Genomic DNA, 16165 nt, shown 5'->3' on the forward strand with positions numbered 1-16165 from the left:
TCTTGTCGCTTTGCCATCATATGGACTTTCACCCTCATCTGCATGGGTGCAGTTCATAGGAAGGTGAAGAGCAGGGAGGAGGCCATTGTCTTAAGGCCCATACTTAGGAGTGGTGTCTATTACCTCCCCTCACATGCCGGCAGGCGGTGCGCTTAGCCACGTGACCACATTGAATTGCACAGCAGGCTGCGAAATGCAGTCTCTAGCTGAGCAGCCACATGCCCTTGATCACATGGAAGAAGTGAGAGCGTGTTGAGGGGGCAACTTTCAATGTCCCCAACTCCTGTTCCAGCTCTGCCAGACCCCTCTATGTGTTGCGGGGCATGATTGCGTGTAAACTCCAGACCATTTAGGTAAAGAAGGAAAACATCTCTGGCAAGGTGGGAAATACGTGCCTCATCATTCTGCTTTTGCATTTCAGAATCAAGATCTGAAGAGCTTGCAAAAAAGTTCTTTTAGTGCTGAAAAGTAGGAACGTGGCAGATGTGACTAACAAAACAGTCCTTGTGCATCTGCTAGGGAGCACAGATTTTCTTTTTTTCTCCAATATAACAAATTACAATCCATCTGGGATTTGAGAAGTCTGAGCTAAGGTTTCTGGATCTGTTTGCATGTGGAACAACGATGAAAAGAAGAAAATGATAAGTCAGTTTTAAAGAACTTTTCTTGTGTTTCAAGTGGAAAGAAGGCTTGAGAATTTTTTTACATTTTACTCTGGTGTAGAAGGACGGTGATATTTAAAGAGTTAGAATGAGCATTAAAACAAAGACATGAAAATAATCGAACCCATCAATTGTATTTTTATATGCTGGCACTAAGACCTTAAAAATAATAATGTATCTAATTCTCACAAAAATATGTTAAAATGAGGACTATCATGTCCATTTTAAAGAGACGAAATGGAGGCAGATAATTTGTGTAAAGTCAAACAGCTAGTAAGTCTTGGATCTGGGAGTTGAAGTTAGATCATTTGGCTCGAGTCTATCAGAGACCTGCAACCCTTTTCTGTAGTGCATCATATAGTAAATCTTTTGGGCTTTGCAGACATGCAGTCTCTGCTGCAACTGCTCAGCTCTGCTGTGTAGCATGAGAGCAGCCATAGACAATATGAAAATGAGTGAGTGTGGCCGTGTTCCAATAAAACTTTATTAATGAACACTAAAATTAAGTTCATAGAATTCCACATCACAAAATATTTTTCTTTTTGAACTTTTTCAACTACTTACAAGTGTAAAAACCATTTTTACCTTGTGGGCCATTGTTTGCTGACCCCGGGTCTATGCAGTTAACCTTGACCTTTTTCAACATGTTAAAGAGGTTAACCCACATTTACCGAGGGCCACTGACCTGGGCACTGTGTGGGGCGCTCCATGTCCTGGTCCACGGACTTGCTAGTCCACAGACTTGCTACCTTCATCTATAGGTAGCTCCTGCTACCGTTATTCACACTGTATAGATGAAGAAAGCAAAGCGGTCCTACTACAGGTGGAACAAGGACACGCAGCCAGCCAGGAACTGAGCTGACATCTGTTGATGGACAGGAAGGAAGGATTTGGGTCAGCCATCAAGACTCTCTCAGGACCTGAGGAAAAGGGCGGGAAACTTAGGAGCAAGATGACAGGAGGGCAGATGCTCCGTGAGGATGGCAGGAAGAGGACATGTATGCTTAATATTCTGGAAAATCCTCTGGGATAAGGCCAGGCACAGTGGCTCATGTCTGTAATTCCAGCACTTTGGGAGGCCAAGGCAATCGGATCATTTGAGGTCAGGAGTTCAAGACCAGCCTGGGCAACATGGTGAAATCTCATCTCTACTAAAAATACAAAAATTAGCTGGGTATGGTGGCGTTCACCTATAATCCCAGCTACTTGGGAGGCTGAGACAGGAGAATCACTTGAGCCCGGGAGGCAGAGGTTGCAGTGAGCAAAGATCACACTACTGCACTCCAGCCTTGGTGACAGAGTGAGATTCTGTCTAAAAAAAGAAAAAAAACTATTCAAAATCCTCCAGGATAAAACTCTCTGTTGAAGGAAGCTTTAATCAGCAGCGAGCACATCAGGCACACTCGTTGCTGCCCCTTCTCATCCCGCATTCCCTCTGCTTTGGTCAGGTGGTGCCCTCCTTCCATGGGTAGAGCCAGAGATGGTGGGTTCTGGCTGGTCAGATGGGAGTGGACAGAGACCCGGGGTCCTCCCGGCTTCATGACTGCACGTGGTGGGCCCTGCACTGTGTGTCTACTGGGATGGATCAAGGTGCAACCAGAGAAACCTTGAGCCCTCTCCAGATACTTGAGTGGTAGCTGAGTTCCTGCAGCCTCTGTGAGCTCCCTTCTGAGCCTCTGGCTCCCAGTTTCCCAGTACCCTTTCTGTATTAGCTTCCTGGGGCTGCCCCGACAAAGTATCACAAACTCAGGGGCTTCCGCAACAGAGATTTATTCTCTCACAGTCCTGGAGGCTAGAAATTTTTGGACTTCTAGCTTCCCGGACTTGATTGGCAGGGCCACACTTCCTTCTAAGGCTCTGGCTGGGGGTGGGGGTCCTTCCTGCTTCTGCCAGCTTCTGGTGATGCTGACAATCCCTGGCATTCCTTGGCGTGTGGGTGCATTACTCCAATCTCTGCCTCCCTCTTCACATGGTCTTCTCTGTGCGTACGACTGTGCATCCTCTCCTCTCGTAAAGGGCAGCAGTCGTTGGATTTAGAGCTCACCCTACTGTGGTATGATCTCATCTTAATGACATCTGCAACAGCCCTGTTTCCAAATAGGGCCACATTCTGAGGTTCTGGGTGGACATGAATTTTGGGGTGGGAAACACTCTTCAAGCCAGTAAATCTTCCTCCCCAAATCTTGCTAGGTTTCCAATGCCTAAAAGAAGTGCTAATTGGAGAAAATAAGAATAGTTTTCTACTTATCTCAGGAGCGGGAAAAGATGGCAAAATGGCATGGCCAATTTTGGAAAGAATATATAGGGTGTTGTAAAGATATGTGATGATGATGAGGATGATGTTTTCACCAATATTTGCAGCCTCTTGTCCACACAGAAGGATTAGGAAGATTAATGCCTTCGAAATCAGCTATATTTTAGCACTCTGTTTTTAGTGTTTTCATGATTATCCTGGTGTCCTTGTTTTTGAGGTGGCTGCTATAATTATGGTAACGTGTGTGAGTAGGTTAGAAAGATGTTACAAGTGATTAAGCTATAAATTAGTCACTTTGGAGTGTGTAATAGTTCTTTCAAGTCCCCAGCATATAAGGGAAAGTGACACTGGTCTACAATGACTGTCTCCATGCTTCCATGCAGAAATTGAGACCTGGAGAATGTAAAGACTTGCCCAAGTTCTGTGAGTGAGTCAGTGCTAGAAAAATCTTGAGCCCAGCCCCCCAGATGTGATGACTATTCTCTTTCAAATATTTCTACAGGATTAGAATGGGCGCTCAGGCTTGGCTCAGACACCCCACATCTTTAGGTGAGTGGCTTTTAAATTGCCATTTGGTCACGCCTACTTGGCAGAGTTGCAAACACGGGCTGCAGAGTTCACACCCGCACCCTCCTCTCTGGAAGTGGAGTGAGAACAGGGTGGGCAGAGGTGGGGCTGCCACACCTGCTTCCCTGGAAACCCGAGGGAGAGCACAGGACGCCAGGCTGGGACTCGGCTGGCAGCTGCTTCGGGCGTCTCACCTTGTGACTATTTCCTGGGCACTGTGGGAGAGGAGGCCTCTTGCCTGAGCTCCTGTCCCTACTGTCTCCTCTCACTAAATGCACGGCACGGCTTTGCGGTAATAGGCTGGGACATGTCAACTCTTTTTTTTTTCTGAGACGGAGTTTCTCTTGTTGTCCAGGCTGGAGTGCAATGGCACGATCTCGGCTCACGCAACCTCTGCCTCCTGAATTCAAGCAATTTTCCTGCCTCAGCCTCCCAAGTAGCTGAGATTACAGGCATGCGCCACCACGCCTGGCTAATTTTGTCTTTTTAGCAGAGACGGGGTTTCTCCATGTTGGTCAGGATGGTCTTGAACCCCCAACCTCAGGTGATCCGCCTGCCTCGACCTCCCAAAGTGCTGGGATTACAGGCATGAGCCACTGTGCCCAGCCAACATGTCAACTCTTTAGGAGAGTTTGAAGACAAAAAATAACCCATGTCTGAGCATGGGAGGTGCTAAAAATAGGAACTTCTTAGCTTCCACAAGGGCAGATAAATGAATAAATAGGCCATAAACCAATGTAGTTATTTCAGCTGGGGGATTTTATTTTCTTTTGATTGTCCCCTGGAGCTACGAAATACACAAATATAGACTGATAGATTTTTTTCATTAATTCGAAAAGCATTTAATGGCTGTCATCTATGTGCCAGGCAATTGATGCGCAGCCAGACTTCCAGGAGGCTGGAGGGGGATCCAGATGAACCTCCCGGAGTAGGATTGTCAGGAGGGGACTGGAGACCAGGGCCATCCTGAAAACCCCATCTCTGTTCCAGGAAATTCCTAGGATCCCCTGGGAGGCACAGCCTGGAGAATCCTATTTTGGTTGCTGAACAGATGCACACATTGGAATTGAGACTGCGTGTGCTTGGGGTGGGTCGGTGAGGCGGGGGCAGTGGGGTCCAGGTGGGAGCCGTATGGAAGCCCTCCCCTCCCCATCCTCCAGGCATGCCAGCGAGTGTGGCCTTATGTTGAGTGTGTCCTCCAGTGTGAGTGGCTCCTCCGAGTGTGGTCCAAGGACCCGCAGCATCAGCATCCCCTGGGAGAGCCTTGGAAATGCAGAATCTTGGGATCCAGCTCAGACCCAGTCAGAATCAGATTTCCAGGCAGCTCGTGTGCTCATTGATGTCTGAGAGGATCTGCTTGAGAACTCCACAGCTGGGGCTGACAAATCCCCCTCTGACCTCAAATTTACCTCCTCCTTCTAAAAAAGCCAGACAACCTAGCTCCCTGCCCACCCACAGCTCTTTCCAGTGGATCCAACTTCCTCTCACACCCAGTTTGAGCAGGGGGAGACAGGAAGGGCCTCTTCTCTGCTTCCAGATCGTCTGTTTCTTCCGTCAAACACCACAGTTCCTATGAAACCCACCGCAGTAGCAGACCTGGGTCTTGTCAAGAGCTATGAAGGGTCTGAGATTTTACCTACTCCTAGGCTAAAAGTTAGCCTGCCAGTTTGACAAATGCTGCCTAATGACACGAGACTCCCGGGGCAGAGACAAAGGACTTTGCTACTCACAGCACAGCAAGCAGCATAAGTTTTGCTTTAAAATGTGGTGTATTAATGCAATATTTGAGTTATAGTAAGGCCAACAGATCAGGAAATGATTGTCATTGAAAGGACAGTTTGTTACTCCCAGTTCCCAGGAGGAGGGGCCACGCTGAGCTATGCAGGGCCACGAGCGTTGTTAGCAGGCTCAGGAGACAGCGGACATGTGGGCAAAAGCCTTGTTTGTGTCCCTAGTTGTCCGGTACTTGCTCCCAGGGTGATTAGGCAGGTGGATAGTGGCCTGGAGTGTGAAAACCCAATAGAGGAGGTGTCTGGGGCATGGGCTTGCAACTGGTTGGTTTGCATTTGAAAAGCATGTTTGCAGGAGCCTGGTTTACTATCTCTGGGGATTGGTTAGTACTGGGTGGGGCAGTCCCTCCAGGGTCAGCAAGGTCCCAGATATCAAAGCATCAGAATGCAGAGAATGGAAGACATGGTTAATACAAGCTTAATGTTTGCACTGGTTCCCTATGTCCCCAAAACCCCATGGGGGTGACGTGGGGGGCCCAGGTGGATGCTGCCGCGCAGTGAATTTGCATCAGCGAGGGAAAACCCTGAGCTCAGGGGATGCAGATGCTTTATAATGGGCAGTAAGCAAACACACCTAACCTTTGTCCCAGCGGGAGATGTTATCTTTATAATATTAGGTAATAACCAAACCTGCTCTCTGCTCTGTAGGGAGACACCACCTCTTTGCTTCTCCAAGGCTGTTTGCTGCATCTGAAAAGACAATCTGGAACAAGAGGAGAGTCAGGCCAGCCACAGTGGTTCATGCCTATAATCCCAGCACTTTGGGAGGCCGAGGCAGGTGAATCACTTGAGGTCAGGAGTTCGAGACCAGCCTGGCCAACATGGGGAAACCCTGTCTCTACTAAAAATACAAAAATCAGCCGGGTGTGATGGTTGCACCTGTAATCCCAGCTACTCGGGAGGCTGAGGCAGGAGAATCGCTTAAACCCAGGAGGTGGAGATTGCAGTGAGCCAAGATCATGCCACTGCACTCCAGCCTGGTGACAGACGAGACTCCGTCAAAAAAAAAAAAAAAAGGTTAAAATGCTACACTTTCTTATCATAGTTTACCGCAATTAAAAATCAAAACAAAACAAAACGAAAACCGTAAAAGATAAACCTTTTCGAATGCTACTATTTCCTGTATCATAAACAGTTCCTCTTAGGAAGGCCTTTCTGGTATATTAAAGACCTGCTCCAGAAAACACAAAGCGGATCAGAAAAACAAAAAGTGGATGTCACTCATGGACATTTTGATAACATCAATGTCATGTACATTTCTTTCCCATAAATTCTGGGGAATTTTTAAGTGGCATGTGGGGCTCTGAAAGGTTAGGAGAGATCAGGTTTTAGGGGAGTGGGGAACTCTGATGTAATGGTCTAATGGCCCAACAAACTTGGGTGCCAGGGCTCTGGCATGAGGGCAGAGAAAGGGCTCTTGGAACTGGGGTCCTGGTGGGAAGGGGAGGGATGGACACGGTAGTGGGTAGAATAATTTCCCCTCAAATTTCAGGTCAACTCGGAATCTGTCAATGTGACCTTACTCGAAAGTTCTGTCTTTGCAGTTGCAATCAGTGAAGAATCATGAGATAAAATAATCTTGGATTTAAGGTGGGCCCTGAATCCAATGACTCTTGTCCTTATATGAAGAGAAGGATGACAACACGGAGTCACTCTGAAAGCTCAGCGTGGTAGAACTTAGCAGCATGATCCAGCTGTGAGGAAGCAGCTTCCAGGTGTGCTGCCAGCTGCTGACCTAGGGGGTTCACCAAGAGGGCCCCTCCCTGCCCAGTGCCCTGACTCTGGGGTCCAGGGCTGCACACTTGGATGACAGAAGGACATGCCCAAGCTTACCTGGCTGCTCAGAGAATATAACCAGACAGTCAGCACTGACTACTCACATGCTCATGTTTATTAAGAGACTCTGACTGGTGGGAATGGAGTCATCAGAGCCAAAAGCACGTGTGCAAAAGAAAATGAGCGTTTTCACCTTTTAAGCGAAGATTGTTTGGGGGTTGAGAGAATGCTGGAGCCTGCGCTAACTCCCTGGGCCAGCACAACTGCGACGTGTCCTCTGCAGGGGTCTCCAGCCTGGTGCTCCCAGCGAGATAAACCAGGGATTACGTCTAGAGGGTCAGAGCATCTGCACCTGTCTAGACAGAGGCTCTAAACTGGGGCAGTGGGGTGAGGTTGGAAAGCAGCAGATGGGATAGATACACGGAGTTGGAGGGAGTCTTCTATTTAGGGGTATCTCAGCAGACATTCTCAGCTGCCAAACAGCCAGCCCCAGGCATTTCCCTGTTGCAGAGGTGGGTGCCCGTGCTATCCAATGATTCCCTCGGCTGACAGACAGGGATGGGGTGAAGAAATAGCAGGAGAAGATGAGAAGGAAAGGGTGAGTGAAACAGAGGAGGTGGGGGAGGAAAGAAAATGTAAATGACACACAAAATGCTCTGAGATGCTTACTGGATGCCAGACACTGTCCTGAATGTTTCGCGGGCACTGAGTCCTCCTGACAAGCCCATGAGGGAGAGCTTTTATTTCCTCCATTTTCCAGAGGTGGAGGCTGAGGCAGGGAGGTGGGTTATGGCCTTTCTGCGAGCATTCGCAAACATTCACCGAAACACAGTATGTTCACCAACATAGAGTTCAAAAGCCACACTGAGAATCTGCGTGGTCCATCAATAACGTGTTGGGCATGTTCTATGATCTGAAATCCACTAGGACCCTGGGCTACCAGGCCCAATGTCTCTCTGGAGTGTCTACAGCCTAGCCAGGGGAAAGAGAGATGCTAACTATAACAATGACATGGGATAATGTTGTTGTCCAGGTGCAGACACTCAAGTATTGGGAGGAAACAAAAGGACTGGAAATTGAGCCCAGGCGTTTGAGACCAGCTTGGGCAACATTAGTGAGACCCCCCCCAACCCACCGCTCTCTACAAAAATTAAAAAATTAGCTGAGCGTGGTGCTGCATGCCTGTAGTCCCAGCTACTTGGGAGGCCGAGGTGAGCAGACCGCTTGAGCCCAGGAGTTTAAGACCAGCCTGGGCAACATGGCGAAACCTTGTCTCTACAAAAAATACAAAACATTAGCCAGGCATGGTAGTGCATGCCTGTAGTCCTAGTGACTCAGGAGGCTGAGGTGGGATGATCGCCTGAGCCTAGGAGAACAAGGCTGCAGTGAGCCGTGATTGCACCACTGCACTCCAGCCTGGACGACAGAGTGAGACCCTGTCTCAAAAACGAACAACCACCAAAGAACTGGAAGAGTCCTGCAGGCACTTGGGATTGCTCAGCAAGCACCCGGGAGAGCTTCACAGGGGTCTGGAATAGTCCAGCAGGTGCATGAAAGAACCCCGGCTATATCTGTACCTTGGAAGAGTCAAGTGCAGGAGCTAAATTTCCATGGGAAGAGGTGAGGGACATGGAGTTAGATTGGAAAGGTCTCTGAATGGCAATAAGGAGAATGATATCCTGTGACCCAACATGGCTGCTATCCGAAGATTTCCAAAGTGGAAATGTGTTAGGACTTTTTCCGTTGCAAAAGATAGAAATCAAATTCAAACAACTAGACTGAAAAGGGAATGTGTTAGGACTCTGGGGAGCTCTAAGAACCGTAGTGACTGCAGGGACATCAGGAAGAATAACGTGGCTTGCGAATGGAGCCGAGACACCCTGTGGCTCCCCCTTTGATCTAGGTTTCTCTGTGCCTGGTGTCATTCCTCCCCTGCAGGTGGGCATTCTCCATGTGGCAGGCAACCTCTGTGTGGCAGAAAAATTCTACAGGGCAGGGTACCGGGAGGCAGGTACTTCCATAGGGCAGGCTGCCATGAGCCAGCACCTCCAGATAGCAGTACTTCTCTGACATCATTGCAGGTTAGAGATCCCTGAAAAACAATTTCTCAGCCTTGATTTTAAAAACCCCAAGGAAGGAGGGATTCTGATTGGTCTAGTTTCAGTCACGTGTCAACAGCAGACCAATCAACTGTGGCCAGGGGCACAGATGCTTTACAGAGGCAGGCCTGTGTCGTGTGACCACCACATGACCTGCGTCATGTGATGGGTGGAGGAGAGGGTGGGCATGCTGTGATTGGCAGCCTCCTTCCCGTGGGTGGAGACCTTTTATAAAGGGAAGGGAAGAGCGCCATGTGGATAAACAGATGTTCACCGCAGGAAGGGCCCGAATCAGATGGGTTTTAGAGATTACTGGGAAGGCAGCCCCAGGGATGGTGGGTCTGAAGCTCCGTGATCAGCCGCAGAAATATTTCTCAACTTTGCTCAACACAAGCGCACTTACCCCACCCCTAGATAAGAAAAACAAGCCAAGCCTTTTTAGAATGTTATCTGAAATTCAAAATAGATTAAGTCTCAGGAAGATAAATAAACCAAATGAGCACTGCTTGGCTTCTAAACCACACGCCCATCCCCTGGGGAGGCAGGCAGCCCACACTCCTGCCAGAAGAGAAAAGACCAGCTCTTGAATGGAATGAACAGTTGCATTGGTGGGAGGGGAACAGGCACTGGAGTTGATTCTCCACGTGCTTCTCGCTGTCATGGGCCCAGGACTGCCGGGCATCTGGTAAACATGCAGATTCTGATGCAGAAGGGCCAAGGCTGGGCCTGAGGGTCTGCTTTTCCAACAAGCTTCCAGGTCGCGGGGTGGGGGGGGGGGGTTGCTGCTGGCCCTGGCACCCCACTTTGAAGGAGTGAAGACTTACGGCCTAGCACCTGCAGATTTGAATGAGATATTGGCGAAGAGCTGCGAGCTAGCCCTCAAGGAAGCCACCCAGGTGGCCAGCGCTGGTGGTTCCATCTCAGATGGAGCTGGGCATGACTGGGCCAGGCAGATGTGTGGGCCTTGGCCAAGCCTGGGCCGGCCCCTGCTCTGGGCTGCTCACACCCATCCCTGGCCACACGGAAAACTTGTGTCAGAGCCAGCAGGGAAAGGAGTGAACTTGCTCTCACTTCACACTTGGATCAGAGCCCGAGGACCTCAGTGGCGGCCCCCTTGGGGTACCTGTGGGGGCTGAAAGAGACAGAGCAGGCTTCCTCCAGGCCCCCCGGGCAGCTTTACCCGGCAACAAGAATGGGTGTCCTAAGCCAACCCCTCTCTGTAGGTAGAATAATGGCCTCCAAACATAACAGGTTTTAATCTCTGGAAACTGTAATTGTTACTTTACGCGGCAAACACTTTGCAGGTGTGATTAAATTAAGGCACTTGAGATGAGGGGATTATTCTGGTGAAGAGGGACGCAGGGGGACATTTGACACAGAAGAGGGGAAGCGATATCACCATGGAGGCAGAGGTTACAGGGGTGCTGCCCTGAGTCGTGGAAGCTGGAAGAGGAAGGAACAGATTCTTCCCAGAGCCTCCGATGGGAGGGCGGCCGTCCAGCACCTTGATGTCACTGCCTCTGGCTTCTAGGACTGTGTGGAATAGACTTCTGCTGTGTTCAGCCTCCCTGTGTGTGGCAGTTTGTTCCCGCAGCCACGGGAAGTGCATGCACCACCCCCCCGCCGGGTGCTGGGGAGACGTGGAGGTCTTGGGGGGCGTCCCAGGGGGCTCTGCTTCTCTGCTGTCTCTTCAGAGGAGGGCTTCTCTTCGGGCTGTTGGGAAGGGGCTTTGGGGTGTCTGCATCTGTTGAAATGGGGGCTCCGCGTGGGGCAGCAGAGCCCCAAGGTCGGGAGGGTGTTCAAGGCTGAGCGCAGCAGCTGCACAGGAAAGAACGCAGGAGGTTGAGCCTGCGCCTCCCGGAGGGAGGGCCAAGGAGGAGCAGGGAGGTCTGTGCCCAAGGATCCGCCAAGCCGCAGCAGGCTGTCCCCACTCACTCCTCTCTAACCACCCTCATGCCCTGGCCTAGGACCTGACCTCCTCCATGGCTGTGGCCCAGCCCACTGCTGCCCCAGTGATTCCCGCATAGTCAGCTGCGGGCAGGACTAGGGGCCTCCCTCCCCTCCAGGGTCTTCCCTGGGACACCAGCCTGCTCCTTGCAGAGTGAATGAAAGGCCTTGTTAACTCAGGCCTTCTGCATCCTACCGCCAGGAGCGTGCTCAGTGCGCACTGGGGAGAGACGAGGGGAAGGGAAAAAAGCACAATAGGCCGGGCGAGGTAGCTCATGCCGGTAATCCCAGCATTTTGGGAGGCTGAGGCGGGCGGATCCCTTGAGGTTGGGAGTTCGAGACCAGCCTGGCCAACATGGTGAAACCCCGTCTCTACTAAAAATACAAAAATTAGCTGGGCGTGGTGGTGGGCACCTGTAATCCCAGCTACTCAGGAGGCTGAGGCAGGAGAATCGCTTGAACCAGGGAGGCGGAGGTTGCAGTGAGCTGAGATGGTGCCACTGCACTCCAGCCTGGGCAACAAGAGCAAGACTCTATCTCAAACAAACAAACAAACAAAAAAACCAAAGAAACAAACAAAAAACCCAAAAAAAACACAACAAAAAAGCACAGTAATTATATTTTAAAATCTTCTGGGATACAACAGATTAGATTTCCAAGAAAGGGTTTGTTTGAATGACTCATTGTGCAGATAAAAATAGTTCTTCAGGGTGGGGTGTGGTGGCTCAAGCCTGTAATCTCAGCACTTTGGAAGGGCTACGTGGGTGGATCACCAGAGGTCAGGAGTTCAAGACCAGCCTGGCCAACATGGTGAAACCCCGTCTCTACTAAAAACACAAAAATTAGCTGGGTGTGGTGGCGGGCACTTGTAGTCCCAGCTACTTGGGAGGCTGAGGCAGGATAATCACTTGAACCCGGGAAGCAGAGGTTACAGTTAGCCCAGATCACACCATTGCACTCCAGCCTGGGCAGCAGAGTGAGACTCTGTCTCAAAAAACAAAACAAAACAAAACAAAACAAAAACCCTCAGGTGGAGTGAATGAGCCTAATTAATATTCCAGAAACAATTTTGACAAAGGTGGCATTACAGATTGAACTTTGTGTCTCCCCAGAAAAATACGTTGAGGTCCCAACCCCCAGTATCTCAGGCAGTGGCCTTATTTGGAAACAGGTGTTGCAGATGTAAATAGTTAAGATGAGGTCCTACCAGACGACAGTGGGCCCCTAATCCATGATGACTGCTGTCCTTACAGGAAGACAGCCAGGTGACGATAGAGACACAGGAAGAATGCCGCATAACAGCAACAGAAACGGAGATTAGGGGGATGCAGCTGGAAGCCCAGGGATGATGAGGATTGCCAGCAACCCACAGAGGCGAGGATGAGGCAAGGAGGAATTTGCCCTACAGGTTTCAGAGGGGACAAGCCCTATGCACACCTTGATCTTGAACTTCTGGTCTCCAGAACTGTGAGACAGTAAGTTTCCATTGTTTAAGCCCCGATCTGTCATACTTTGTTAGTGCAGCCCAAGCAAACTGATAGGGGCGATGTCTGCCCCTTCTTTGCTCTGCCCTCTGCCACCTGCCATGGCAGCCCCCCATGGCCCCTTCTCAGGTGGTGACCCCCTTCTCCTTGGTGGCACCCTCAATAATCCCCTATCCTGTGTCTGAAAATGGGCAATCACCTTTATTAAAGAAATGAGGCTTTTCTCACTCCCCGGCCATCTTAGCGGCTGCTCTTGGTTGGGGTCCGTCCTGCAGCTAAGGCGGGAATTTGGTGGCTGCAAAGAAGAAGAAAAAGCTCCTGGAGTCGATCAACTGTAGGTTCCAACTCATTATGAAAAGTGGAAAGTATGAGCTGGGGTACAAGCAGACTCTGAAGATGATTAGACAAGGCAAAGCAAAATTGATCATTCTCACTAACAACCACCCAGCTATGGAATGTTGGCCAAAACTGGTGTCCATCACTACGGTGGCAATAATATTGAACTGGGCACAGCATGCGGAAAATATTACAGAGTGGGCACACCGGCTATCATTGATCTAGGTGATTCTGACATCATTAGAAGCATGCCAGAACAGATTGGTGAAAAGCAAACCATGCAAAATTTTCCTTTAATAAAATTTGCCTGAGCTTGTTAAGAAAAAGAAAGAGAGAGAGACAGAGAGAGAGAGAAAGAAAGAAGAAAGAAAGAAAGAAAAGAAGGAAAGAAAGAAAGAAAGACGAGGGAGGGAGGGGAAGGAAGGAAGGAGGTGGGAGTTGGATGCAAGGAATGCGACCCTCAGGGACCCGCTTCGAACAGCCCATCAGACCCACTTTTGCCCTTCAAAGGAGGTTGAGAAGCTCCACTCTGTTGTCCATGCAGCTATTCCTGCTCAAGCTGCAGCTGGGACTTTTATAAGAAACTGCCTTTTAGAGCCGGGTGACATCCCACATGAAGAAACCAGGGCCGGTGCAGTGGCCCATGCCTGTAATCCCAGCACTTTGGGAGGCCGAGGTGGGAGGATCACTTGAATCTAGGAGTTTGAGACCAGCCTGGGCGGCATAGTGAGACCTCGTCTCTACAAAAAATAAATAATAAAAAAATTAGCTGGGCATGGTGGCACATGCCTATAGTCCCAGTTACTTGGGAAACTGAGGTGGGAGGATGGCTTGAGCCTGGGACGTGGAGGCTGCAGTGAGCCATGATCATGCCACTGCACTCCAGGGGGGTGACAGAGCGAGACCACTGTCTCAAAATAAATAAACAAGGAGTGCCACTTATTGTCACATTTGGATTTGTTTCTAACATCGTGCTGAGTTTGGTCACCCACCTCAATCACCTGATGTGACTTGAAACCACTTCTGGCTATTTCCAAAAATCAGCTCCGCACTGGGAGGGGTTAGGGCTGCCCTTTAAGGAAACATTAAAAGCTCAGTATCTTCCTTTGGTGGCTCCTTCAGGGGCGCTAGCTTCTGACTCATCAGCATCATTTTAGCTCTCTGAGGGTTCAGAAATAGAGGAAACAGCACTTCCTTTTGGTGAACGCCTTTGTATTATTTTATTTTTTCACCATGATACTGAAACTAGCTCATCCTGGGAGAGTCAAAGGAAGCTCATATGTTTTCCCTGAGCTGGGCTAAATTCCTGATTCTTCTAATAGGAAAGATCCAAAACTTCCCACGGAGTTTCCCCTCGTCTGCACTGAGTCACATACCTGTGGGCTTCGAGCTAACAGACCTTTTTTAATCAAAGAGAAGATGAAAAAGGCACCTTGCTTCTGTCCCATTTTTAGATCTTTTTTAGCCCCATTTCTTCTCTTTCCTTCCTCCATTTTTGGGTTTGTTTGGTTTCACGCCTGAATTAAATGTTAACAGGAGGAGCAAGTTTTATACATTGCCTGAAGTCATCATTGTCAGAGAAACAAATGCAATCTTTAGTGAGGCTAGCAATGGTGGGAAGAAGACGCGTGGGTTACAGCAAGCACAGTTACTAAAGCTTTTTGCATTGAGTAGCTGTGGGGTCCAGGGCTCCATCTCTCTGGCCCTCACTTGCTCATGAGCAAATAGAGGCTTCAGGTTGTAGCAGGTTGTCTCAAACTAGGGACGTATATTCAACAAACCTGCACCTTATTCAAATGTAGATTCTGATCCTTAGGTTCTGGGTGGGGCCTGAGATCCTGCACCTCTAACAAGCTCCCAGATGACAAGCATCCAAGATCACACTTTTCCTAGCTCTGGATCACACTTTTCCTAGCTCCTAGCAGAATCTCAGGCTCATCCCAGCCTCTTGAGCCAGAATTCAAATTTTCACAAGAGCCCCGATTCGTTCAGATGTGCATTAAAGTGTGAGAAGCCCACACTGGATCACTGAGGGAGGTCGCAGTTGCACCTGGGGAACCAGGAACCGTGGAGGCATGAGCCCATCCTGGAGACCCTGATTTAGTTGGTGGGGAGTGGCCTGGACATCGATTGCTGCCTATTCACAGTGGTTCTTGATTTTGCTGCCATTAACATCACCTGGGGAGCTCTGAAAGGCGTCCCCGTGATGTTAATAGGCAGCAAGATCGGGAACTACTAGGCTGCGGGTTCCTCAGGTTCTAATCTATGATGTCATTGGCTTTATCAGGGCAATTTTTCCTGGCCACATTAGGCAGGAGAGGTGCCTGTGCATCTCAGAAGTGTCTATGGAACTCTGCTTCTGAACTTCCCAGCACGCTCAAAACAGGACCTGGTTTACAGCAAAGGGCCAGCTCCTGGCAACATCATGAAACAAACGTACACTATCCTCTACCCAGGGTTCCCTTCAGCCTATAGGTGCCCGACGGCCCCTGCTCTGTGCTCCATCCTGACATCAGGAAACCCACGAATGGGAGAAAATCTCATGTCACCTGTTTACAGGTGAGTGAACATTTAAGTCAATGGGTTGCTCTCTCCTGGGGAGCTCTAATTGTAGAATTTAAGAGGGCAGAGTGAAGCCAGTGGGAGTCCTGCCAGGTTTGAGTCACAGCTTGGCCACTTATGAGTCCCTCTCATTACCCCACCAGAGCCCGGCGTCCTGATGCATAACACCCACCACCCGGCTTAGGGAGGGCTGACAGAGTGAATTACTGACAGAGGATGGCCCTTGGCCATTTCTGCTTCCTTCACTTTCCCATCACTGCCTTAGAATCTGGAGAGACTCATGCTGGCTTCACCTGGACAGGCATCCTGACACGCAAGCGAGGATTGCTCCCACCAATTTTCTGCGAGAGAAACAGGGGTTCGGTTGATTCCTGGCAACACGTTCGTGTGGGGATGCACGTGGGGGTGCAGAGCTGGACTTGGGAGATGCTTCAGCTGATAGCACACTTTTCCTTTGGGGAGTTTTCTTCCTGCTGTTATAACACCTGTCTCCAAACAAAGCCTTCATTGGTCAACAGTGAATGATTCATTTATTCTGTGCATAGACCTATGGCGTGAGATGCATTTGGAAACCTTGAGAACAGCGGTTCCCAACCTTGGTGCTTGGAGTAATGTCCGAGGACATTTTTGGTTGTCACAACTGGGGCAGGGAACTGTTGCTGGCGTCTAGTGGGTGGGGTCCAGGGGT

General features: G+C 49.6%; 1 protein-coding gene, 1 non-coding gene and 1 pseudogene across 3 annotated transcripts in view, besides 4 other annotated features; all 3 read left to right on the forward strand.

Annotated features, from left to right (window-relative positions):
• ROPN1L (rhophilin associated tail protein 1 like) overlaps positions 1-6855 on the forward strand; it is a 40929-nt gene extending 34074 nt beyond the window's left edge. The window contains exons 6-7 of one of the 2 annotated variants that reach the window (XM_017009947.3): positions 3419-3465; positions 6818-6855. In XM_017009947.3, the coding sequence (XP_016865436.1) occupies positions 3419-3465; positions 6818-6840 (70 nt within the window). In that variant the 3' untranslated portion in view covers positions 6841-6855. Of the gene's footprint in view, positions 1-3418; positions 3466-5921; positions 6352-6817 lie in introns of those variants that run through there. The other variant, XM_006714504.4, reaches the window with a different exon arrangement.
• MIR6131 (microRNA 6131) lies at positions 2085-2193 on the forward strand. Its single transcript, NR_106747.1, has one exon. It is a non-coding gene; the product is annotated as a microRNA 6131 (primary transcript).
• Positions 9065-9359: an enhancer, noted in NCBI's record as "tiled region #9329; HepG2 Activating non-DNase unmatched - State 10:DNaseD, and K562 Activating DNase unmatched - State 8:EnhW". NCBI's record gives its function as "activates a minimal TATA promoter and a strong SV40 promoter by Sharpr-MPRA in HepG2 and K562 cells {active_cell/tissue: HepG2 | K562}" and the evidence as "EXISTENCE:reporter gene assay evidence [ECO:0000049][PMID:27701403]".
• Positions 9065-9419: a biological region, named in NCBI's record as "Sharpr-MPRA regulatory regions 9329 and 12995".
• Positions 9125-9419: an enhancer, noted in NCBI's record as "tiled region #12995; HepG2 Activating non-DNase unmatched - State 10:DNaseD, and K562 Activating DNase matched - State 8:EnhW". NCBI's record gives its function as "activates a minimal TATA promoter and a strong SV40 promoter by Sharpr-MPRA in HepG2 and K562 cells {active_cell/tissue: HepG2 | K562}" and the evidence as "EXISTENCE:reporter gene assay evidence [ECO:0000049][PMID:27701403]".
• RPL30P7 (ribosomal protein L30 pseudogene 7) lies at positions 12800-13225 on the forward strand (annotated as a pseudogene).
• Positions 14128-14177: an enhancer, noted in NCBI's record as "active region_22355". NCBI's record gives its function as "activates an Ori minimal core promoter by ATAC-STARR-seq in GM12878 lymphoblastoid cells {active_cell/tissue: GM12878}" and the evidence as "EXISTENCE:reporter gene assay evidence [ECO:0000049][PMID:35858748]".

Source organism: Homo sapiens, chromosome 5, assembly GCF_000001405.40.
Source record: "Homo sapiens chromosome 5, GRCh38.p14 Primary Assembly".
Lineage (NCBI taxonomy): Eukaryota > Metazoa > Chordata > Mammalia > Primates > Hominidae > Homo > Homo sapiens.